The 26,217-nt window shown below is 41.2% G+C and overlaps 1 protein-coding gene across 3 annotated transcripts in view; it reads left to right on the top strand.

Moving 5' to 3' along the window:
* The window catches only part of KLHL3 (kelch like family member 3), a 118,590-nt gene that overhangs the window by 58,137 nt on the left and 34,236 nt on the right, over positions 1-26,217 (top strand). For all 3 annotated transcript variants that reach the window (NM_017415.3, NM_001257194.1, NM_001257195.2), the window contains 3 exons: positions 299-408; positions 15,922-16,038; positions 19,673-19,822. In NM_017415.3, the coding sequence (NP_059111.2) occupies positions 299-408; positions 15,922-16,038; positions 19,673-19,822 (377 nt within the window). The remainder of the gene's footprint in view (positions 1-298; positions 409-15,921; positions 16,039-19,672; positions 19,823-26,217) is intronic.

Here is a 26,217-nt window from a genome sequence, read left to right as displayed (position 1 = left end):
AGTGCTATTATTAATCTCATGGAGCATGGAAAAAATACAAACTCAGATCTGTCTGCCCCATTTTCATCTGTGTTGATGTTCAGGACAGAGGATCATAGTGGGTGATGCCATCACTGCTGAATTAAAAGGCAAATTTCCCTCCAGCCATGATGTCTCTGTCTTTGTTTCACTCCCTTTCCCTCCATGGTCCCCCTGGCCTGCTCCAGGACTCTACTGTGAATCCCACAGATTGTCATGGAAGGGCAGAAGTGTGTTACAACTTTGTTTTCTTAACTTCTTTTTTTTTTTTTTGGAACAGAGCAGCACTTTCCAGAGGTGATGCTAGGAGAAGAATTTCTTAGCCTGAGTCTGGACCAGGTGTGCAGCTTGATATCCAGCGACAAGCTGACCGTTTCTTCAGAAGAGAAGGTATGACATGGCTCACTGGGGAAACGGGAACCTCACTCGTCAGGTGGTCATGGGAAGGACTTGTGGTTTGGTGAGATCTTTTCTTTTCTTTTTTTTTGAGATGGAGTCTTGCTCTGTCGGCCAGGCTGGAGTGCGATGGTGTGATCTCGGCTCACTGCAACCTCCGCCTCCCAGGTTCAAGTGATTCCCCTGCCTCAGCCTCCTGAGTAGCTGGGATTATAGGCACCCGCCACCATGCCCAGCTAATTTTTTGTATTTTCAGTAGAGACAGGGTTTCACCATGTTGACCAGACTGGTCTTGAACTCCTGACCTCAGGCAATCCGCCCGCCTCAGCCTCCCAAAATGCTGGGATGACAGGTGTGAGCCACCATGCTTGGCCAATCTTTTCTTTTCTTTCAGAGAAAAACAACAGCTTTTTTTTTTAATCCCTTTAAAAATAAAAATTATAAAAAGGCTTTCTGGCTCATGACTGCTACATTCTAGACTCTTTAGAGAAGAAATAACAGTGATGATCATGATGACAAAGCTGCCACTATTTACTGAACACTTACAGTTTGCCAAACACTATGCTAAGTGCTTTATGTTCTTGGGCTCATTCCACCTCTACCATACCCCTGTGAAGCAGACATTACTATTGTCCCTGCATTACAGAAGAGGAAGCAAATTCAGATTCCTCTTCTACCAGTAAAAATTTCTTTATGCCAGTAGATGTAGTCTACTATAGTGAAAATAGCATAAGCTTCAGTGTTGGCCAGCAGGTCCAAATCTCAGCTCCAGTATTTACAAATTAGTTATGTGACCTTGGGTGAGGTACTTTGCCTCTCCTGTGTTTCCTCATTTTGTAAAGTGAGGATAATAGTATTAGAACATATTCCATAGGGCAATTAATTGGGATAATATATGTAAAATGCATGGTATAGTCCTTGGTACCTAGTAGGTGTTCAATCAGTATTAGCCCAGTTTATTATTTACCCTGCACCTGGAATTAATCCCTTCCTTCTCTGTGTTTCAGGATAACACTCACCTTGTTCTCCTTTTCATTGTACATATTTAGTTCTGAGCTGATCCTCCTCCCACATTCAGCTGAGTTCCTTGATGTTAGGGACTACATCTTATTCCTTTCTGTATCTTCAGAGATGCTCAATAAATGTTTTTTGAATGTCTTAGTTCACTCTTTGCATCCAAGCTTGAGGCTCTTCCTTGAGGGAATACTTCAGGACAAACATTGAAAAGGATTTTATATCTGAGATGAAATTGTATTCACACGTCCAGAGAATGGGGTAAAATTCACAAACCCCTGCCTGCCATCCTGGAAAAGTTTGATCAAGAAGAAAAACATTTCTTAAAATAAAAAAGTCATTTGTTAAAACTGTGGGCTTCCCTGAAATTAGCAATGGATTCCCAGAAGGTGACTGGCACAATATACTGGACTCTCCCTTAGGCTCAGGGAGGCCTTGGCTTCCTTGAATGCGTGTGTGTGCATAGGACCCTTCCTGCCTTAAAGTCAGAAACTGAGAGGATGCCCTTCCTTCTTACCAAGCACGTTTACTGTCTGTTCTGGATTATGCTGTCAAATTGGCACAATTGGAAGGGATGAACCAGTCAGTTGATTGGCTATGTGAATGTTGAGACAGTTGGTCAATTTGGGGCCCCCCTGAGCATGTTCTAAGTGTAGAGTGAGAAAATGGAAGCACTCATATAAACAGCAGGATTTGAATAATCTTGGGATATGTGGGTTGAGAGTTGGGGGACTCTGTTACTTTGAATTCATGCTGGCCCATCTTGCTCTTGAGATCATAGAAAGTTTTCTGCATGTGAAGGCTAATCTGTGCTTGCTGTGTCTGGCGGGGAGTAGGGGTGGATTGTTAATAGGGAGAGGCATTATAGTGCCCTGGAAACCACTTGGGCTCTGGACGCAGGCAAACCTGGTTCTAGTCTCTGCTTTCTGGCTGTATGACCTTGAGAAGTCACTAGTCTCTTTGAACCTTAGTTTCCTTAAATTTAAAATGGGAATTCTGAGTCCCTCCTCTATAGAGTTGTCATGAGGCTTAGAGATAATGGATATAAAACGCCAAATATAGTGTTTGGCAGGCACTCAATAAATGGCAGTTGTCATTGTAATTGTCACAATCATCTGTTTTTAAGCACCATTAATAATGATAATGGCACCAATTTTGCCATTGATAATGGTAAAATATGCCATTGAGTTAATTATATCTTTCCAGAAACAAACATGACTTTTTTCACTTAATGTATACACTTAAAATGTATACACTTAAAAATTGTTTGCAGTGTTGCTCAATAATTCATATACTTACATATGAGTTGCTCTTTCTGTATAGCCAGAGTTTGGAGTATAGGTATTTTTCACATTAACGAAGTTCTATTTCATATTTGCTTCTTGGAACTTATATGTAACTTCAGAATTATGTGCTGCTTTTCATAAAGCAGATTACTCATGATCTTGATCCCTTTAGTACCTTTAAGGTTGGCAGTGTAATTTTGAGGTTTATTAAAGAATAGTGGGGCTTGGTCTACATTTTCTCTTTGGCTAACCTCATAGTTTTATTTCTCCATAATTGATCATGTCTTGCTGGAAGTTAAATAGCTGGAAGCTTCTGACAATTAGATGTTTTTCATTTTAATGCTAGTCCTTTAGGCTTTGAAAATTCTGTGTCTGCTCCAGGAGATTTAGTGATTTCTACGCCCTTTAATTACATTGTGTGTGATAAGCAATCTCTTGCATGCATAATAACCTTTCCTTTCAATACTGTTTTATAGTGGAATTTTAAAATGTATTTGAAGTAATATTAGGGATCTTAAGTTAAAATTCAACTGCATATAATGTTAACAGTTGCAGAAAACCCAACTGGGTTGGTAATCAAGTAACTGGTGTTCCACTAAATCCACACTTAACAGCATAACGGCAATTATGACTTACTCTGCATGCAGCCCACAGATTTCTTTGAACATATATTATAAAATGAAGCCAGATTTCAGACATTAACATGTAAAAAACACATACGCCTTAAAATAGAGGAAATGTAATATTTTACTATTAATGATGAGTGTAAGTAACAGGCAGCTTTCATCTTGTAAGTTTGCAAGTATAACTTCTACAGTCAGAGGGGCTCAGTTTGAATTTTGACTTCCCTACTTAAACAAGCTGAGAACCCTGGGCAAGTTATTTATCTCCCACAAGAATGTATGTACCGTATACAAGTAGATAGACAGGAATTTTGTCTGTCTGCTTGTCGCTGCTGGAGTGGTATCAGGTTCATGGTAGACACTAAAAAAATAGCTGTTGAAAGGACGAATAAAAGAACCTCCCTATGGCTCAGTTTTCTCATCTGTAAAAGGTGAGTAATGGTAGTATAGTATCTACCTTGTAAGGTTGCTATGAGGATTAAATGGGATGATATATGAAAAAAGCTTAGAATATAAGAAGTGTTCATTACTGTAAGATACTGTTGTTATTGCTGCTATTATTATGGTTATTACTACTAGTACTGCTCCTAGTAGTAGTCATAACTGTTGACTGGAGCCTTTCCTAAGGGGGAGTCTTCCCAGTGCCCATGTTGGTCTGGGTTGTTGGCATGACCTGGGGCCCCAGTGCCTAGCAGGGTCAGAGAGTGGTTGTGACCTCATGCTCCCCAGTGTCCCCAGCCCTGCCTGGGCCCCTCCCAGAGCTCAGAGACTGTTCTTCCAGCATCACTTGCTTTTGCCCATTCCTTATCTCCTCTACTGCCCTCAGATGCCTTGAGGGCTGTGAGGGTACCTTAGTCATCTTTGTATCACATGCAGTACCTGACTCAGTGCCCCAGGAGGTGCCACGGAAGGACTCAGCAGATGTCCCCCAAGGGATTGAGGTACACTGGGGCTGGAGTTTGCACTGAGCCAGCTGAGGTTATGGGAATAATTTTAACAGTTTTCTAGAGAGTAAGGACAGATAGGGGAATTAGAGGGTAGGGGAGGGCATGAATCCTTGCCATTTTTGCTCTTGTTTTTCCTTCATGTGGTTTTTATTTTAGAATTCTTGTTATTGAGAGAGGTCAAATGGATGTGATGGGAGTCACACAAAATCACTAGTTCATTGTGTAGGACCTTCCCCTTCCTCATGTCATGCCAGACCCCTATTAACTTCAATAGGGATGGCATCATGTTCAAGAGGTTGAAGAAGAGGCCCGGAGGCAGCGAACAAGACATAGGGTTTATTGAGGGCACTTACGTACAGGGCTGTCCAGTGGTGGCAGGCTGGACAGGAAATTGCAACTGCTTGTAAAATGCATGCAGTTTATATAGCATTTTCACTTAACACCCTCCTGCTGGTGACCTTCACCTGGCAACCTTCATTTAACACAAAACAAAGGGCCTCAATCCCCTATATGGCCTGCATTTCCCAGGATGGGCTGGGGTTCAGATGTTCCTCATAGATAAGGAATGAATCTCCAGGTTCTTGATTCCTTAGCGTGGAACACTGAACACACATTCTTCTTAGACCGTAGAGTCATTCTCAGGGTATGCTTAAGTTATTGCTGTCAGGTGCATCTATCATACACTCCACTACCCTGAGGATAGAGACAAGAAGATTAAAGCCAGGCATCTGATTCTTCCACATGGTGGGTGTTGAGGGGTTAGGGCTAAGCCTGTGAGCTGACGGCATGTTTATTGTATTTCCCCTTGAGACACAAAGTTCAGCTCTGGCCATGAACATCCTCAGTGACCCAGTGACCCAGGGGCAGAATAAACAACCTTCTGGGACAAACCCACTCTAAGGAAAGAGATATGACTCCTGAGTTCGAGTGCAGTTTTGCTGTTGAATTGCTGTGGGACCTAGCAAGTTACTGGACTTCTTTGAATTTTGGCTTTCCTAGCTGGTAAATATATGTCTCCATCTCAAGATCTCTTGCCTTCTTATGAAACACTATTGAGGCTTTTCAGAGACACCTCTGAGTGAGTCTTAACAGGGAAATGGCCTGCATTTTAGATACCGGTCAGGAAGAAATTTATTAAGTCTTTTTAAAAAATTAGTGTTAAGTATGTTCTGGAATAAGAACTATAGGTTACTTCTCTTTGCATTATCACATTTTAAAATGCGCTGTTGTCTCCTTAAACTGCATTTTAGAGACCAAATTTTGATATCTTATTTCTTGGGAGGGACTGGGCCCTTGTCTCCCAGGATCATTGGTGTTCCATGCCCTTCTGTCTGAATTCCTTGCCTTTCCAGCAAGGTGGTTGTGGGAGGCAGGCTGTGGGAGGCAGGCTGGAGAGCCTTGGCCGGTGGGCTGGGCTTGCATGATTGCTGCCGAGGCATTGCCAGGTGACTGAGCAGGTGTACCCTGCTGCCTAGGCCGAGCTGTTGGCAGCCCTGCCTTACTCTGAGGTTATCAGAGTTGCCAGCTTCTCAGCTTGCCAACAACAGTGATCTGTTAACGCCCTACCTTGGCGTTACTCTTTTTACTGTTCTCCTTTGGATGGTGGAATTCAATAACTACCCATGCACAGAATATGACAGCACCGTGCCCCCAAATCTACCATGACCAACCAGTGTTCTCCAGGTATGTTTCACTCATCATTTTTTTTTTAAACAGGAAGTTTGTATTGAAGTAAGTTCATGGAGAAGTAAACAAATCAAGTATACAACTAAACTTTTTACGAAGTAAAACACCCACATAACTAGCACCCAGGTCAAGAAACAAACCCCAGAACCCCCTTCCAGTTACTACTCCCTACCCTGGGAAGGGCACCTACCTTCTTGGCTTCTCACACCTTAGGTGAGTTTTACCCATTTTGGAAGCTTATATAAATTGAACAGTGGTGCGTGTGTGCTTTTGTGTCTGATTTTTTCCTGTCCAGCATGACATTCAGAGAACATCATTTCTAATCCTCACAACAAGTTGCAAGGCAGAGATTATTGTCTTCATTTTGCAGACGAAGAAACTAAGGTTCAGAGAGGTGACACAGCTCATTAACCGTAGATAGCTCCATGATGTGAAGCTGTGTGTGTCTGCCTCCCAAGCCCCACTCTTTATGAATGCACCCCCACCCTGATGAGGGGTACAGAGATGAGTGACAGGTAGTCATTTCTATTCAGGGGCTCATAGACTGGTGGGCAGACGGACTGAAAACATGTGTCCATAGTACGTGGCCAAGAGAAATAATTGCTTATAATTATAGTTCAAGGAAAGTACCTGGAATATTTTATTCCAGGTTGTTGTATAGGAAAGACATCATGGAAAAGAGAGTCTTTGAGTTAAACTTTGGTGAATGAGGGTAGAATTTTGGAAAGCCATTTAGGTTGGAGGAATAGTAGGACTATTCCTACTAAAGACTTGGAAGTTTGGAATAGCTCGTACCTGGGGAGAAAAGTAAACTCTGTGATAAGAATCAAGGACCGTGGAGAATGGTGGGAAATGAGGCTGGGAGTGGGGTAGGAGTCTGTGAAGAGATTTAAGGAGTGAGAGCTTTCTTCTTCAGGTCAGTATTTGCTTAACTGTATCCCATAAAGACACAGTATTACAAGATGTTTATAGGTGTTTGGGGCTTTTTTGTTGTTGTTTTTTTTTTTTTTTGAGGTGGAGTCTCGCTCTTTGCCCAGGCTGGAGTGCAGTGGCACGATCTCGGCTCACTGCAACCTCCGCTTCCCAGGTTCAAGCGTTTCTCCTGCCTCAGCCTCCTCAGTAGCTGGGATTACAGGTGCCCGCCACCACTTACGGCTATTTTTTTTTTTGTATTTTTAGTAGAGACGGGGTTTCATCATATTGGTCAGGCTAGTCTTGAACTCCTGACCTCATGATCCGCCTGCCTCAGCCTCGCAAAGTGCTGGGATTACAGGCGTGAGCCACAGCACTTGGCCAGGTTTTTTTGTTTGTTTGTTTGTTTTAAGCATTCTCAGGTCAGATACATTTAGGAGACACTGGCTGAACAAAGTAACCAGGTTTCTTTACTACAGGAGTTGTCAGAGCTTTTATATGGTAATGAGCTTTGTGAACCTTTAAGGGATATTTGAGGATACAGTATGATGTGTTTCTTAGGCTCATTTGGCCCCTGAGCCCCTTTACTACAGAATATCTCCTGCATCTAGTATCCTTAGGAACACATTATAGAGTAGAGTCTTTAAGCCACCTTTCATTGGTTGTCCCAGATATTCTACTATTTTTTGCATCTTTGATATGTCTTTTGGTAATTCATTTCCAAAATGAATTATAATTTTTGATTGTGACTTCATGTTCAGAGGATGTCATATCCTGGGAATCTAGGTTGCCCTGGGCTGTGGACCCTGTAGGGCAGGTTTACTGGTTTAGGAAACAGTTTTTGTATTAGATATTGTCTTAGATATTTCCCATACCACCTGGGTGATGTCAGTTCAAACTCTCAATTTTTATGTGGCATGAGTCTAGGGTTTGGGTTTCTTGAAGATGTAGATTTTACTCCCTGTCTTTCCCTTCTCCCTTGCCTCCCACGCCACTGCGTTCCTCAGCCCACAGGAGATGGCGAGCTTCCTTCCCCTTACTCATAGCACATGGGCAGAGTTCATCTAGTCTTAGTTTTACAGCTGGGGCAAATCTGTCCACAGGAGCCTGTGGCCTAGGCACCCTACCCAATGGGACACCAGTCCTCAATTAAAGCCCATATCTGAATTGTCTCTGTGAGCCATTTTGGCTTCAATTTCCACTCAGCTGCCCGGATTGAATTCCTTCTTATTTAAAACACTCAGGCATTTTCTTCTTGCTTTTGCGTATGGCTCAAATCTTTATTTTTTCTGTAATACATCATGCTCACGTGTTTGGAGCTACAGGGAAAGATTCCTTCCAGAGCAGCTCAGTCTACCATATTGACTGGCAGACATTCTCCATCCGTATGTCATCCTGCACTCATGGTTAGGATTAGTACCACTGACGTCTCTCAGCTTGTAGACGTTTCTATCAAACCATTGTGCTTCAGTCCTTTTCTTATTCTTTGTGGACTCATAGTGAAAGTCTTTTTTACTGGCTGTAGGTAGTAATAGAAAGCTGAAGAACAATTTCCAGGCCAAGTGATGTTACCGTTTTAATTTTTTCATCATTTTTGGTTATCTGAAGTCAGATATCTGGCAGTGTGCTGCTGTAGGAAGAGAACCATACATACATTCATTCATGCTTTTATTAATTTATTCATCCTATTAAGAAATATTTCTCTGTGTGGCAGGTAGCGTATTAGTCACAGGAGAGACATTGGCAAACAGATCAAAACAAGATACCTGCCTTTGCAGAACTTATATTCACATAGAGGAGAGATATTTTATCAAATATATGCACAAATATATAGCTATAAAATGAGAGATGTGGTATGAATGAAATGTGCAGTGTGCTGTGAAAGTGTGGATTGAAATCAGTGGTTCTAATTGCTGTCTTCTCACTAATTTGTTGGGTAATGTCAGGCAAATGACTTCGTCTCTCTCTGCCTTACTTTCTCCTTTTGCAAATGACTAGCAGTTTCACAGGGTCCTTGTGAATCTGAAATGAAGCAACTACAAGAAAGAGCTTTTAAGTGTTGTGTGAAATGGTGATGGTATGGTCAGAAAGAAGAATTCAACTGGGTAGGTTTCTAGGGAGACTTCAGACCAGGACATCGCTCAGCCAGTGGTGTGCTGGTAAATGTTTAACAACTGGCTCGCTAAAAAACATTCTAAAAGCCCTGATTCATCTGTTGATTCATTTGCTGATTTCCATGGTGTAAATATTTTCATCAAGGCTGACTTCAACTACCAGTGTAATGTCACTAAACGTGGAGTTAGGAAGAGACGTGCACAGTGAGCTCCAATTGCCGCACACCACTGCTCCCAGTTGTCCCTGGAGTTGTGTGTGGCAATGAGGTGAGAGTATGCTTAACACAAGTCTTGTTAAGCTTTCATTTAAGAAACAAAAACAGGAATCCAACAGAATCATTCTTTTGTCTAGAAGCACTATCTTCTTGATTTAAAAGCATGGCAGGAGATTTGGTAAATGGTATTGCCTCAATCCCTGGGAAAGGAATAGGAGACCTAGGGGAGGTGTCCCAGGAGGGCGTGGAGGATTGTAATTAGGATTATAGGTTTAGGAAGTTAGTTCCCCAACTCAACAGTCTGCCCAGGGTTTTTTTTGTTTGTTTGTTTTGAGACAGAGTCTCTCTCTGTCACCAGGCTGGAGTGCAGCGGTGCAATCTCGGCTCACTGCAACGTCCGCCTCCTGGGTTCAAGCGATTTTCCTGCCTCAGCCTTCTGAGTAGCTGGGGACCACAGGTGTGCGCCACCACGCCCAGCTAATTTTTGTGTTTTTAGTAGAGATGGAGTTTCGCTGTGTTGGCCAGGATGGTCTCAATCTCTTGACTTCGTGATCCGCCCACCTTGGCCTCCTCGGCCTCCCACAGTACTGGGATTACAGGTGTGAGCCACCTTGCCTGGCCTAGGTTTTTAAAATTAATTGTGTCTCTGAGATGCAAATTGCATAATGTTTGAGCATGGGTTTTTGGAGTTAGAGGTGAATTCACATCAGATCTATTCTTCCTGGCAGTGTGACCTTGTACAGCTTGCTAACCTCTCTCAGGCTGTTTCCTCATCTGTAAAATGTGAGCAGTGACACCTACTTCACAGAGATTGTTGGTGGATTAAATGAGATCATATGTGTAAAATGCCTAGCACTGTGCTTGTTGTTATTAATAAAGTTAGTCCTTCTCAGATTGAGTAACAATTCAGGTCCATGTATAGGAACCTAGTTTTTTTTCCCTGATATTGTCAAAATTAGCGTCTTTCTCTTCTTCCTATGTTTTGCTGAGAATTGCTCCCAATTGAACTTCTCCCCTTGCCAAGTCAGTGCCCTGCCTTTTTAACTGGAGTGCTTCTTGATCTTCAAAACACATTTTGAAAGCAGGGAAAGTACCCCAGGACTCCTCATTTTCCTTGGGGTGTGCAAGTCCAGCCTAGCTTGGCTGCCTGTCTGTCCAGAGTGTTGGAGTGGAAGGTCTGGATTCATCTGGTATTCTCTGGCCAAGACCTGTGCTTACATCTGAAGTGTGGTGAGCTGGGAGCTATGGAATCTGATTTTCTCCAACTCCTTTCCACTTGACAGTCTTGTAGCATGCAAGAAATTGGTTCTAGGACATTAATCAGTGAGGAAATGGGGCTATTTCTTTGTTTAAAAAGTGAAACCCTAAGTGTACCTATGAGCAGCTGATTATTTCATCACAAAAAGTAGTAGCTAAGTAGATATCACCCTATCCTATGATTGAATCTATAGTCTCTGCTTAGATTTTATAGACCAGGGGTTGACAAACTTTTTCTAGGAAGGGCCAGATAGTAAATATTTTAGGCTTTATGTTGTCGTGGCTTCTCAACTCTGCTACTGTAATGTGAAAGCAGCCATAGACAATATGTAAACGATGAGTGTGGCTGCCTTCCAACATAATTTTATTTACCAAAACAGGTGGCAGGCTGGATTTGGCCTGTGGGCAGCAGTTTGCAACCCCCCTGCTATTAGACCTATTAGACATTTGAGAGTCAGCTAAGAATAATGGATTTAGAGCATAAGCACTGAAGTTGGTTTTGTATGTAACCAAGCAGAGCTGGCTCTGCTTCTTTTTAGTTCTGGGACTTGGGCAAGTCATTTAATAAGGCTTAAGAGTATTTAATCATTGGGTTATCTTGAGAATTTGGGGAGGCGATGTTTATGGAGAGTCCCTTGGTGGGAAGGGTTATTGGGAACCATTTTGGGTACATTGAAAGCTAAAGCAAGTTGGAAGTTTATTTGCTTGTTTATTTTTCAAGCATGAAGTCTGAATGAAAAAAATATGTGGCCTTCTCTAGCTGCTGAGAAGGTCACTGTTGTTGCCGAATGCTGTGGCTTTCATAGCTGAGTAGATAAACAGTGTGACTAAGTGGAACTAGTTACACAAGTGAAGCCAAAAATAAAGATAAGGTTAAATATCGACTTTGGTAGATTCAGCTTGCTTTTTTGTTTTTATAACAAAAATTAAGCTGGTTGATGGGGAAGAATGTGATCAATAAATGCTACCCGCTTAAGGACTTGTAGTTCATTCTTCAGCTAAGCTTTGCCAATCAGTTACCTTGTGTTGTGCTAGGCAGCATTGGGAGATGGCGTGCAGAGACAGAGCTGGTACACTTCTCACTCTGCATAGGCTCACAGTCTATAAAGGGAAGTAGAAAGAGGTGTGGCTAACCAACCACATACAAGGCAGAATGGGGTTGTGGCTGCCCATCACCTAACCTGGCAAAGGCAGACTATCTGCCTTTGACTCTGCCTTACCCACTAAGATTCCAACCCCTTGTTCCCCAGCCCTGCTCTCTGCTCCAGCCTGGGCAGCTTCCACACATCTCCTTCCATGCTTATTCTGAACTCATTTTCCATTCATTCACTTAAAAAATATTTGAGTTTGTGTTATGTGCCAGCAAATAAGACAAGGTCTCTCATGGATCTTAAGGGCTAGTGGAAGAAACATAGTCGTTCAAACAATGCTGTGAGGATGAGGGACATAGCTCGATAAGAGTTCCTAATAAAAAATGAACTAGACAGGGATTTCTATGGTGTATGTGCTTATGTTTGTACACATATAGGTTATTTGATATAGAAATAGGAGCAAACTATACATACATACTACTCCTTTCCTTTTCTGCTCCCTTCCCTTCCTTTCCCTTTCCCTTCCCCTTTCCCCTTCCCTTTCCTTTCCTTGCCAAATTCAAGTTATGTCCAGCCTGACTTAAGTATATAATTAGAAAACAGGGCCAAGTGTTTTAGGGGAAAAGCACATTAACATATTTGCACAAAAAAAATGTACTTAGGTTAAGAAAAATTGGAGTCCTTTTTTCCTCCTGGCAGATAAAGCTTTCATTTCAACTTTCTGCCATCCTATAAATTTTGTTGTAGTTTTTTTCCTTAGAATTTCTTTTCTTCTCTCTTACACTGCTTATTCTGAAAAATTAAAAACCTACTGTAGGTTTGAAAGAATGAACATTCATGTAGTCTTTACCTAAACTCACCATTAACATTTTGCTTCATTTACTTTATCTCTCTAGACTTAATCTTTCATTTTGCTTAATCATTTGACAGTAAATTGCAGACATTATGACACTTCACCCCTAAATATTTTAGCATGTATCTCTTAAGAACGAGGAAATTCTCTTTTCTAGCCATAAAACCAATTATCATACCAATGAAATTTAATATTGATCTAGGAATATTATCTAACATATAGTGGATAGTCATATTTTCTTACTAGTCCCCCAAAAGTCATTTATGGCTATTTCTTTTAGAGCCATAATCTAATTATGGTTTATGCACGGCATTTAGTTGCCTTGTCTATAAATCTCTCTAATCTAGAACTGTCTCCCTACCTTTTTTTGTCTTCCATAATATTAACAATTTTGAAAATCCAGGCCAGCCGTCCTATAGAATGTTGCAAACATAGAGTTGTCTGATCGTTTCCTCACCGTAAGATTCAGGTTATATATTAATATTTTAGGAAGAATTGTACTTAGGAGATACTGTGTCTTTTCAATTAAATCACAATCAGGAATATAAGTTTGTCCTCTTATGGGTGGTGGTAAATTTGGTCCCTTGTTTAAGGTGTTGTCTATCAGATCTCTCTATTTGAGGATATTTTCCCTCCATGTAAATAGTATGTAATCTGTTGGGTGATTCTTTGAGAATTGTGACTCTTTCCCCATCCAACAACTTTATTATTATTATTTTTTTAAAGATAGGCTCTTGCTGTGTTGCCCGGGCTGGAGTGCAGTGGCATGGTTACAGCTCACTGCAGCTTCCACCTCCTGGGACCAAGTGATCCTCCTGCCTCAGCCTCTCAAGCAGCTGGGACTACAGACACGTGCCACCATGCCTGACTGATTTTTTTTTTTTGTAGTAGAGATGGGGTCTTGCTAAGTTTCTCAGGCTGGTCTCAAACTCCTGGGCTCCCACCTTGGCCTCCCAAAGGGCTGGGATTACCAGTGTAAGCCACTGCACCTGGCCTTTAACAACTTTCGATTTTAGCATCCATTGGTGATCTTTGTTCAATCAGTTATTACATTGGTGGTATTGCAGAAATGGTGTTTTTCTAATTCCGTCATTCCTTTTACAGGCATTTTTTTTTGGATATAAGAGACCTTCTTACACTTTTTTAGTATCCATATGGGCGCATGAATTATTTTTTTTAATTTTTTTTTTTGAGACAGGGTCTCACTTCGTCTCCCAGATTGGAGTACAGTGGTACACTCATGGCACACTGTAGGCTCGACCTCCCAGGCTCAAGCAGTTCTCCCACCTCAACCTCACTAGTAGCTGGGACTATAGGCATGCACCACCATGCCTGGCTGATTTTTGTATCTTGTAGAGATAGGGTTTTGCCATGTTGCCCAGGCTGGTCTTGAACTCCTGGGCTCAAGCAATCTGCCTGCCTTGGCCTCCCAAAATGTTGGGATTATAGGTGTGAGCCACCATACCTGGCCATATTATAATTTTTAAAAAAAAATTAAGAATATTTTATATTGAGGTATATGGATATTAAATACACAATTTGGTTAGTTTTGACACATGTATATGCCCATGTAATGCCCACCCTAAACCACAAAAGGTTTCCTTTGAACCTTTTTCAGCCATTCCCTGACCCTCCTTCCCCTCAAAGAGGCAGCACTGATGTGATTTCTTCATTATTCTCACTGATATTTAAATTGTCCCAAATATTGGCATTGAAAGCCCCATCCAGCTGGCTCTTTTTGACATGTCTTCTTTAATCACGTATAAGATGTTTGCTTTATTCTTTTTAATAGCGAAAATAGAGTTGGCACTCTGTATCCGTGAGTTCCATATCCAGGGATTCAACTAAGGAAATATTCAGAAGAAAAAAATTCCATAAAGTTGCGAAAAGCAAAATTTGAATTTGCTGCAACACCAAGTACTACATCATATCCACTTGCATGAAGTGATGTATGGGTATTATATTAGGTATTATAAGCAATCTTATATAATTATTTAAAGTATATTTATTATTAACATACTTTAAATATATATATTTAAAGTATTTAAAGTATATGGGAGGATGATTTAAAGTATATGGGAGGATGTGCGGAGGTTATGTGCAAATACTATGCCATTTTATATAAGGGACTTGAGCATTGGCAGATGTTGGTATCTGTGGGTGGTCATAGAACCAGTGCCCTGGGGCTGGGGCTGGTGGCTCACGCTTGTAATCCCAGCACTTTGGGAGGCTAAGGCAGGCGGATCACTTGAGGTCAGGAGTTTGAGACCAGCCTGGCCAATATGGTGAAACCCCGTCTCTACTAAAAATACAAAAATTAGCCGGGTGTAGTGGTGTACACCTGTAATCCCAGCTACTAGGGAGGCTGAGACGGGAGAATCACTTAACCCGGGAGGTGGAGGTTGCAGTGAGCCAAGATCGTGCCACTGCACTCCAGCCTATGCGACAGAGTAAGAACCAAAAAAAAAAAAAAAAAAAAAAAAAGAACGAGTGCTCAAGGATACTGAGGGATAACTGTATCTAATGGTATGGATACTCCTTTAATAATTTCTCTATTAGTGGACTTTAGGTTGTTTCATTTTTTTATCCCTTTACAACCATGCTGCAGCAAAGATATTGGAGCACATATTCTGTTCTCTTACACTGATGTGAGTATAAGCTAGAGCTCTAGAAGTGGTATTTTTAAAGTCAACGAGAATGCACATTTAAAATTTTGATCGATATTGCCAATACTTCCCTCCCCTCTTAAAAATCATTATTAATGAAATTTTTACAGACACTGCTGGTTTCCCCATTGCCCCTCCAACGTTGAATTTTATCTGCCTATGTGTATGTGGTGGCACAGGGTTTGAATTTGGACTTATCCTTGAGTAGAGTGAACATCCAAAGTATAGGTCTGCCTTTTTGGTTCTAAGCCCTCCAGTTTTGATTTGCATAGAAATGAAATCTCTCCTCAAGGAGAAATGTTTGCCATTCCTTGTCATTCAGTGTCACATTGACCATCACAGCCAGCTTTGGGCAGAGGGCATTCTTACTGTTTTTATTCTACATTAACTTTACACGGGACATAAGTGAGGAAACGGGGGCATGGGGAGATGACGACATTGCCCCCAGGGTCTGATCTTCCTGAGCAGCCTCTATAAATTTGGTTCACAGTTACTGCTCTGTATTTTTACCCTTAAAAAACTATTGGAACTGGTTTTTATTTTAGAATGAACCATGATGATTCTACATTTGGGATAGCAGGTTTGTCCTTGTGTGTGTGTGTGTGTGTGTGTGTGTGTGTGTGTGTGTGTGTGTAGAGTGTGTGTGTGATCACTCTCTGAGGCCAGCAAGTAAACAAACCCTTTCTGTTTTTATTTTAAATATGAGTCTCAGATTAATTAAACACCTTTGTGGATGACTCATAACTTTTTCTCTCTCTCTTTTTTTTTTTTTTTTACAGATTGAGGGTTGTTTGAAAGCTTTTGTCTCTTTACTGAAGTTGCCCATGTTGCTTTTCTTTATAGGTGTTTGAAGCTGTGATCTCATGGATCAATTATGAGAAAGAAACCCGTTTAGAGCACATGGCAAAGCTGATGGAACATGTCCGACTTCCTCTCTTACCTAGGGACTACCTAGTCCAAGTGAGTGTTGTATGAAGAGCCAAGCACTTCTGTGTTCACCCAGACCTGTAGGAATAGCAATGGGCAATCCTGGTTGGATGGAGTAGTTGAGGGTTTAGTGGGTCTTCTGTATGTGCTGAGGGAACCAGCCCACTGGGTTAAGTGTTAGGTGTTGTAAAGTTTAAGAGCATAGGCTTGAAAATAGGACACTTAGGTTTCAGTCTCTGCTCTGCTGCTTATTAGTTTTGGATTTTTATTTAACCTCTTCAAGCCTCAGTTTTTCTTCCATAGAACAGATATTATAGTAGAGCCCAGCAGGGTTGTTGTGAGGACTAAAGGAGTAGAGTATGCAAGTCAGCTGCTTCGTGTGGAGCCTGGGGTAACAAATGTTCCATGAAAGTTAGCTGTCTTTGTTGAAGAGGACTGAAGCAAGAAGGGTCATGTCCACAATGTTTCTATGTTCCCTTTATGTCTTAGTTTTAGGCAACTTGAAGCCAAATTCAAGACTGTAAAAACGGTGCCTAGAATACAGAGTACTTCCACTTCCTCTGAAAAGGAAAGAAAAATTAAGAATTATGGGGTTTCCTTATGGTGCCATATGTTTTCTCGTTTAATCCTTATAATAACCCAGAGGGGCAAAGATTGTAACTCCTTTTTTTACACATGTAGGCCTTGAGGCTTATGGAGGTTGGGATTTATCGGGGTCACTAGCCTTAGAGAGGCTCAGGATTCAAATCCATGTCATTCTGGCTCTGCAGTGCATAGTTCTTCCGCTAAGCTAGCTGCCACCATTGATACGCTCTTTTCTGCATACCCATTACGTGACTTATTTTATACAGTAAATGGCATTAGACACTTTTATAAGCAGAGAATAAACCTTAAAATATATGAACAAAACAAAACATCGAGACAGCAGGTTAGCCCTCAGCTGTCTCCAAGGAGTCTCTGGAAGGAAGGGAAGATATGATGCAAGGATAAAGAGGAGGTTTAGCAGCCTAGCAGCCCAGCAGCCCAGCTCTTGTTACTTTCCAGCCATATAATACTGGGTACATGCTTAACCTTTTTAAACCTCAGTTTTCTTACCGGGAAAAAATGGCACTTGCCTTTATAGGATTGTTTGGGGATAAACAATAAAATGAGATAATCCATGTAGGCCTATAATACAGTGTTCAGTGAATGTTACTGATCTTACTCTGTAGTCTTTGTGACCACTGCTGTGATTCTTAGTAGCAGGTGACACAGTATCCTCACGAGCACTTGTAAACTCGTCTGCTGGTAACACTTGTAGATTGCAGATATGAGGGGTCAGTGAAATGTTCCCTGAATCGCCGTACTTCAGCCTTCTCAGGTGCTGAGGGATATGCTTGCAAGCTCTTAAATGGGGCATGCATGCTACTTTGGGTGATACCACTGCCACCTGGTGGCAGCATATCTTTCCTGTAGAAAAGGTCCCCTAAGCGGAGGAAGTGAACTTGCCTGAGCATCCAGTGTCAGTCAAACCTCCCACTGTCCTGTGGGAAGCTGGCTGGAGGTGGAGGAGGCACCTGGACTCCAGTATAGTCTCGCTTCCACAGGGAGGGTTGGCAACCTGGGGACCTGGGTTCCAGAGAAAGCTAAAGTGGCCTTAGAGACCGTTGGTCACAAACTTCATCAGGCATCCACAACTGAAGCTTAACAAACGTCACCATTAGGAAATGGCTCCTGGGTTATTATGCCAAAGCAGAATTTAGATCTGGAAAAGAAGGGGGTCAGAGGCAATGGGCATGAGAACTGTTGTGTGGGACTCCTCCCTTTGCCCTTTTTGCAGAAAGGCCTTTTATCAGGCCTCTCAGAGTGAACACCTCTGGAATAGGATGTTTCATTACATTCATTTGACTTTGAAACTTCAAATGAGTATAATTGCTGGGATGGCTGATGGTGGTGGAGGAGGAGGAGGAGAAGGAAGGGAAAGCCCTGGGCAGACCTCCACCAACACTGCCTGACTTCTGGGGGAGGTTTTTTTTTCTTTCACAAAAGGTAGCATTTATTAGGCTTTTACTCAGCATTTAAAAATATTGTACTAAATGTATAATATGTTGTGATAAAATGTTTATTACATAAACTTTGTTATTTTAACCATTTTAAGTGTACAATTTAGAGGCATTCATTACATTCAAATTCAGTACAACCATTACTATAAAGATTTCCAAAACTTTGTCATCACCCCCAAAGTTGAAACTCTTGTACCCATGAAGCACTAACTTTCCAGGAGAACTTTTAATTCAAGCTGAGTAAGTTCTTCTGGAGAAATAGCTGCTCATGCATTTCTCCTTCCTTCCAAGCTTTTTCAGGCATCCTCTCCCACCCTTTTTATTTTGTAATTGACCCTAGAAGTTTATGATTTGTCTCAAGCTGGCTCAGTTCCTTACTGGGAGGGGAAAAAAAAACCTTCCAAGGAAAACAGTTCTTGGGGACTGTCTCTGGGGAGGGAGGTGGTCAGAGGTACACAGAGGCCTTCTCTTGCCAATCCTTTTTTCCCTGCCAGCTCCAATGCTGCCCAGCAGATGATGGCCCTGGCCATGCTTTCATTCCTAGTGACAGATGGGGACCCAGGAGAGGCTCAGTCATGCCTTGTGCATCACTGACTTGAGGGCTGAGATAATTGAGGTGGGAGGCCCTTCTCATTCTCTGACTGGACTTGAATTCTTCAGGGTCAGAAATTTTGTCTTGTTCATCATTTTCTTCCTGGGGACCAGCACAGGGCTGCCCAACCAGGAGACATTCAATCAGTGTTAGCTGTTGAATGGAATTGATCTTTCCTAACACAAAGCAGCCCCAGAAGACCACATTACCCATTCCAGATATGCCACACAGTGATCTGACCTGGGCCAAAAGGTGGGGATTGGAGAGTTAGAGCACCAGAATGGCTTCATGCTTGGTCTTGCTCATGAAACCTTTAGGCTTACATGTGCTGAGCACCTGCTTAGGTCCTAAGCTCTGGAATAAGAGATAAAGAAGCCAGAGCCCCAGCTTAGATGGAGTCCTAGGTGAGGTCAATAGGTGGGACTTTGTGCAGGGTAATTTTTCTGCTCTGATGTTGTTACTCTGTTAGAAGGAGCCTCACTGGCCGATTTTCTGCCCTGAGACCTTCACTATAAGACAACGAATATGAATCTTTCTCCTTGACAAGCTTATTTTACTCAATGCCTCCAAAGGTTGGCTGATGGCTCCCACACCCTTTCCTCTTTCCCCTCACTCCTCCTCTCAGATGTCTGTTTGCCCTAAGCATTATAATGCATTCAAATCAGGAGAAATGTGGTTAGAGGCTTTCAGGATGGCTACTTGTCTTTTGTTTTGCATAAACTCATTTAAGCCTCAAAACAAACAAAACTAGTGAGGTTGTAGATACCTTTAATATGCCCATTTTACAGATGAGGAAACTGAGGATCAGAGACGTTAAGTAGTGGATCTGGTCTAATGCCAGAGCTTGATCCCTTATCCCACTGTGCTCTTAAAATGCAGGAGGTGAGCAGTAAGTTGTAACTCTTTGGGTCTGAGATGATGTGGTGAAGGAATGAATGAGTGTGGGAGTGCAGGAATGACTGAGCCCAGGGTGAAAGCTTGGGAAATGTGGCTGAGCTGTGCTCCAGGATCATCTGTGGATTATTACCTCTAGACGGTTGAAGAAGAAGCTTTGATAAAGAATAACAACACCTGTAAAGACTTCCTCATTGAGGCCATGAAATACCATCTCCTCCCTCTGGATCAGAGACTATTGATTAAGAACCCAAGGACCAAGCCCAGGACTCCAGTCAGCCTTCCCAAGGTAAGCCCCAGCCCAATCACCACCAAGAGTCAGGACTGTGCCCTGGGAAAGTGGCCTTCCACTCCTGCCTCCAAGTCTTTCCTCACCCATGGCTGCCCTGCATCTTGGTTGCATTTACAACCTAGGAGATGGAGTCTGCTGGTTCCTCTTGAATCTGCTGGTACCTCTCTCTTCTGGGGTCTTCCTTTCCTAAGAGTTTCAAGGTAACCTCCAATGTCATCAGGGAGGTTTGAGAATAACTCAGAGCTCCCTCTCACCCCCACCCTGACTTCTCATTTCACACCATGGCTTGTGCTCTATTTCTGTTGGAAGCAGAGGAATGGCTATGTTGGTTTCACTTAGTGATGGCCATAGTAGTCCTCTTTCTAGGCCATTCTTTGAGTCAGAATAGTCCTAGTCTGTTTCTTTTCCCCACTCAGGGAAGGACATAAAGGACAATTAGGGCTGCCCCAGAGAAGAAAAGGGGTTCTAAGAAAAGGGACCCTGTCAAATTGAGGAGTTTGACAGGTCACGAAGCAGAGGAAGGAAATGGGAGAAATGAGAATTTGTGAGGGAGCAGCCAGGGAAAGGGAAGGAAGACACAGGAGGGGACCCCATGATCTAGAGACCTAGAGTTTATGGTGTGTGCTGGCTGCTTTGGTTCCCTGCGAGTCTTCTTTCCTCTCTGACCCTCAGGCTCCTTATCTATAGAATGAGGGATGCTCCACTCGATCCCTAAAGTCCTGTCTGGTGTGGCACCAAAGTAGTCGTTTTAGGAGTCTAACATGCTGATGTCTGGGGGAAGGAATCAGTCAACCCAGGAGGAAAGGTGGGAGGAGAGGAGTGGGTCGTGTTGTCTCATTGATGACACAGTAGGCAGCACCAGGAAATTATTTAGGCCCTTGCTTTGTCCTCCTCCTCCTCTTTCCAGCTGGCTGCCATCCTCCCTGCCTGCTTCTTCCAGGAAGGTTTCACAGTGGCTAGAGGCATGTTGTTTTCCAAGACCAGGTGTTGGAATTCTCTGAGGTTTGCAGGACCTTCTTTCCCCTCTGCTCCTTGACCTTGGATCATGGGGAATATATTGGTTGCAATGTGAACAAATGTCTCAGTGTCCCAGATAATAATACAAGCAGCTAACCTTTATTGAGTGCTGAGGTTATCACTTGAATATCTTACTTAATCTTTTCAACAACACTACAAGGTAGAGATAGTTATCCTAGTTTTATAAAGGAGGAAACTGAGTTTCAGAGAAGTTAATTTACTTGCCCAAGGTCAACACAGCTAATGTGGTAGAACCAGCATTTGAACTGAGTCTTTATCACTCTCCAAACCTGTTCTCTGAACTCATACCATCCTGCACCTGGCTTCACCTTTGTAAACCTGAGAGTGCATACTTGCCTGTTGGCCTCACGTTGCCTAGTGCAGGTTAGAAGAAGGCACAGCCGCAAGGCAAGGCCTTGGTCTGGCTGGACATTGGTCTTACTGCAGGTTGATGCCTTTTGTTTTGTTTGGTTGAAATATTGCATTGAAACTTCTTCATATTTTTCAAAGTGAAAATAACTTAGCTTTCTTTAATTATAGACATATGTGCTTATTGTGGATTATTAAAAGGATACTACAATTTTGAAATTAAATAAAAGTCACTTGAAATGTCTCCTAGGATAAAAAATCTGCTATTATTTGGAAAATTTTCTTTCAGACATGTCTCTCTGCACTTTTTCACAGATAGATACAAATGTACAGTGTATTGCTATACAGATTGAACTATTTTTCCCCCCATGCAGCCATGTGGTACAGACTGCTTTTAATATTATCAGTATAGGTGAAATCAGCATTTAAATTGTAATGGTACATGGTGTTTAATTGTATTTATGCACTATTATGTGCATATTATGGACAGTCCTCTACTGATGGGCTTTGCAGTAATTTCCTTTTTTTTTTGTAATGTAAACATTTCTGTGTCAAGTATCCTTTAAAAGGTGGCATATTGTTTGAGTTCGTATTTCTTTCATTGGGAGTGAGATTAATCTTGATTTCATATGATTATCGGCATTTGTATTTCTATTTTGGAGAATTCTCTGTTCATGTCCCTGGCTCATTTTTCTATTAGACTGTATTTTTTAATTAATATTTTTTATTCCTTTTTTTTTTTTTTTTTCTTGAGGCAGAGTCTTGTTCTTCTACCCAGGCCGGAGTGCAGTGGAGTGATCTCAGCTCACTTCAGCTTCCATCTTCCAAGCTCAAGTGATCCTCCCACCTCAGCCTCCCAAGTAGCTGGGACTGCAGGTGTGTGCCAACACACCCAGCTAATTTTTTTTCTTTTAATTTTTTTGTAGAGACAGGTTTTTGCCTATTGCCTAGGCTGGTCTCGAACTCCTGAGCTCAAGCAGTCCACCCACCTTGGCCTCCCAAAATGCTGGGATTGTAGGTGTGAGCCACTGTGCCTGGCCTTATTTGTAGTTTCTAAAGGCTCTTTGTACATGAAAGAGGTTAGGCCTTTGAATGTATGTATTTCAAATATGTTTTTTCTTAGTTTGCAATTTGCCTCTTGTTTATAGTAATTTTTTGGTCCAAAAAAGCCCCAGTTTTTAAGGAGTCAAATTGATCTATCTTTTGCTTTATAGCTTGGGTTTTGTGTCATGTTTAGAAATATTTTCTTTACTCTGAAATTATTTAAATAATGTCCCCATGTTTTCTTCAAGTACCTTTATAATTTTTGTTTTACATTTGAATCTTTGATGCACTTAGAATTATTTTTTGTGTGTAAGGAGTGAGGGCAGGGATTCAGTTTTATTGGTATTGCAAATGATGAGCCAATTGTCTCAAGGTTATTTTATTCATTAATTCCCCTCTTCCCCCATTGGTTTGAATACTATCTTTATTATGATCTAAATTTCCACAAGCTGCATGTCTTGAGAATGTTGATTCTAAGTGTGCTGCTTTTTATTTAGCCTTTTTACTTCCCTGGGTTTTCAGCTGGTCTTCTGTCTGTGACATTTCCCTTTGGAAATTGGTTCTCATCCTCTATGATATCAGAAGAATGACATCTTTGCCTGAGGAGTGTAGCTTGGAGCTAAGGGAATGGTTCAGCACTGGCCCAGCTTTTTTGTGTAGAAACCATACCTAGTGACCTCTCCTTTTTTGGACTCCATGTTAGCTCTTACCTCATATACCCATAAAAAGATAGTTTTAAAATTAAAGCCCAGTTTGTGCCTGAGCCTGGACTAAGCATGCTGAGAGCTGCTCCACCATCACCCCTGTTCCATCCCAGGGATTTAATCTATAGTTGAGAAAGAAGAGTCTACCCCTTGTTTCAGGAGGTCAAAGCCATCCTTCTGTCATCCCTACTCCTTAAGAAACATTTATTTTCTGAATGAAAACATTTAGATTCCTGGGCCTTCTGCAGGCAACTGGAACCATGACTTCCTTAGAATCTGTTAAAGAAAGAAAGAAAGAAGACATCACTACTCTTTGTCTCATTGTTCTCCTGTATTTAATCCTTGAATGATTTAAGGTTATGTTGTCTAACGTGCTTCTTAAACTATACTCTCATCACCATTGTTTAAGCACTTAAATTAGTGAGGGGATCCCCACTGAAGGCTTGAAGAATGAATAGGGTATGCTGAGGGAAATGATCACTTAGGGATTATCAGATCGTGTACTGTCTTAATAAATCATCACAGCAATAGGTCTGTCCTATTCATATCCCTACTTAGATTACTCAGAGAGGTTAAGAAATTTGCCCAGTTAAGTACTGGCTAAGTGCAGAGCTGGGGTTCGGTCTGTCTCACTCCAAAGTCCATGCTTTTCCTTTTACACCGAACTGCTTCCTGAGAAACAGCTTTCAGGTTTTGTTAGCGGTTTAAAGAGATTATTTTCTTTTAGATTAGTAGAGGTATAATAATTTATATGCAGTAAAATTCACACTTTTTAGAGATACAATGTGATAAGTTTTTACAAGTGCACAGTCATGTAACCACCATCCCAATCAAAACATAGAATATTTTAATCACTACAAAAAGTTTCCATGTGCTGCTTTGTAGTCAATCCTCTTCTTCTACCCCCAGCCTCTGACAACTACTGATCTGATTTCTGTCCCTATGGTTTTGCCTTTTCTAGAGTGTCATATAAATGGAATCATGCTGTATGTAGTCCTTTGAGCTTGGCTTGTTTTTCTTACCATAATGCATTTGAGATTCATCCCCGTTGTTGCATGTATCAGGAGCTCATTCCTTTTTATCACTAAGTAACATTCCATTGTATGGATGGACCATAGTTTATTCATTCACGAGTTGGTGGACATTTGGGTATCCAGTTTTTGGCTGTTACAAATAAAGCTGCTGTGATTTCACTTACAGATCTTTGTGTGGACATATGTTTTAATTTCTCTTGGGTAAATACCTAGGAGTAGGATTGCTGGGTTGTATGGTAAGTATATGTTTAACTTTATAAGAAATTGCTAAACTGTTTTTTAAAATGGCTATACTATTATGCATTTCCACCAGCAATATATGAGTTTCAGTTATTCTGCAGTCCTGCTACTACTTGACATTATCTATTTTTAAAAATTGTAGCCATTCTAGTAGGTCTGTGGTAGTATCTCACTATGGTTTTAATATGCATCTCTCTAATCACTGTGCTGTTGAGATTTTCTCATGTGCCTATTTGCCACCCATATTTCTTCTTTGGTGAAGTGTCTATTAAAATATTTTGCCCATTTGAAAAATTGGGTTATTGTTTTCTTATTGAGTTGTAAACATTCTTTATGTATTCTGGATACAAGTCTTTAATAAGATATATATTGTGCAAATATTTTCTCCCAACCTGTGCCTTATATTTTCATTTTTTTAGCAGTATCTTTGGAAGATAGTTTTTTAACTAATTAATTATTATTTTTTTTTTGAGACGGAGTCTTACTCTGTTGCCCAGGCCGGAGTGCAGTGGCACAATCACGGCTCACTGCAAGTTCTGCCTCCCGGGTTCATGCCATTCTCCTGCCTCAGCCTCCCGAGTAGCTGGGACTACAGGTGCCTGCCACCACGCCCGGCTAATTTTTTTTTTTTTTGTATTTTTAGTAGAGACGGGGTTTTACCGTGTTAGCCAGGATGGTCTCAATCTCCTGACCTCGTGATCCGCCTGCCTCAGCCTCCCAAAGTGCTGGGATTACAGACGTGAGCCACCGCGCCCGGCCACTAATTAATTTTTTAATTGACAAAAGTTATATGCATTTATCATGTACAACATGAGGTTTTGAAATATAGATACATTGTGGAATGGCTAAATTTAGCTAATTAACATATGTATTACATCATATACTTATTTTTTTGTGGTAAGAACACTTAAAATCCATTCTCTTAACTATTTTCAAGAATATAATACATTGTTATTAACTATAGTCACCACGTTGTACTATAAATCTCTTGAAGGTATTTCTCCCATCTCACTGAAATTTCATATCCTTTGGTCAACATCTTCCCAGCCAACCCCTTCCCCTATCCCTTGGTAACCACCATTCTATTCTCTACTTCTATGAGTTTAACTTTTTTAGATTCCGCGTATGAGTGAGATTGTATGTTATTTGTCCTTTTGTGCCCTGCTTATTTCACTTAACGTAATGTCCTCCAGGTTCATCCATATTGTCACAGATGACAGGATTTCCTTCTTTTTTAAGGCTAAATAGTATTCTACTAAATATGTATACCACAGTTTCTTTATGCATTCATCTGTTGATGGACATGTAGCTTGATTCCACATCTTGGCTCTTGCAACTAATGCTGCAGTGAACACAAGAGTAGATATCTCTCTGACATACTGATTTCATTTCCTTTGGATATATACCCAATAGTGGGATTGCTGGATTATATGGTAGTTCTATTTTTATTTTTTTGAGCAAGTTCCACACTGTTTTCCATGGTGGCTGTACTGTATTTGGAAGTGCATAAGTTTTTAATTTTTCAATTTTTTTCTGTTATGGTTTATTTTGTGCTCTATATAAAAAATCTTTGCCTAATTTGAAGTCACAGATTTTCTCCTATACTTTCTTCTAGAAGTTTTAGGTTTTACACTTAGGCCTATGGATCCATTTTGAGAAGTTTTTTTTTGTTGTTGTTCTTAATATGGTGCATGAGGTGAGAGTCTAAGGCTCATTTGTTTTGCATATGAATGTCCAGTTGTTCCACACTATTTATTGGGAAGATTCTCTGTTCTCCATTGAATTACCCTGTCACTTTTGTTATAAATAATTGACTGTATATGTGTTCGTCTATTTCTGGACTCTCTTCTGTTCCATTTTATCTGTCTACCTTTACACCAATACTATGTTGCCTCGATTACTAGCTTTCTAGTAAGTCTTAAAATTAGGCAATATGAGTCCTCCAGTTTTGTTCTTCAAAGTTGTTTTTGTGAGTCTAGGTCCT

Source organism: Homo sapiens, chromosome 5 (genome assembly GCF_000001405.40).
Source record: "Homo sapiens chromosome 5, GRCh38.p14 Primary Assembly".
Lineage (NCBI taxonomy): Eukaryota > Metazoa > Chordata > Mammalia > Primates > Hominidae > Homo > Homo sapiens.
The sequence above is the reverse complement of the archived record's forward strand: the minus strand, read 5'-3'. Positions and strand labels throughout refer to the sequence as shown.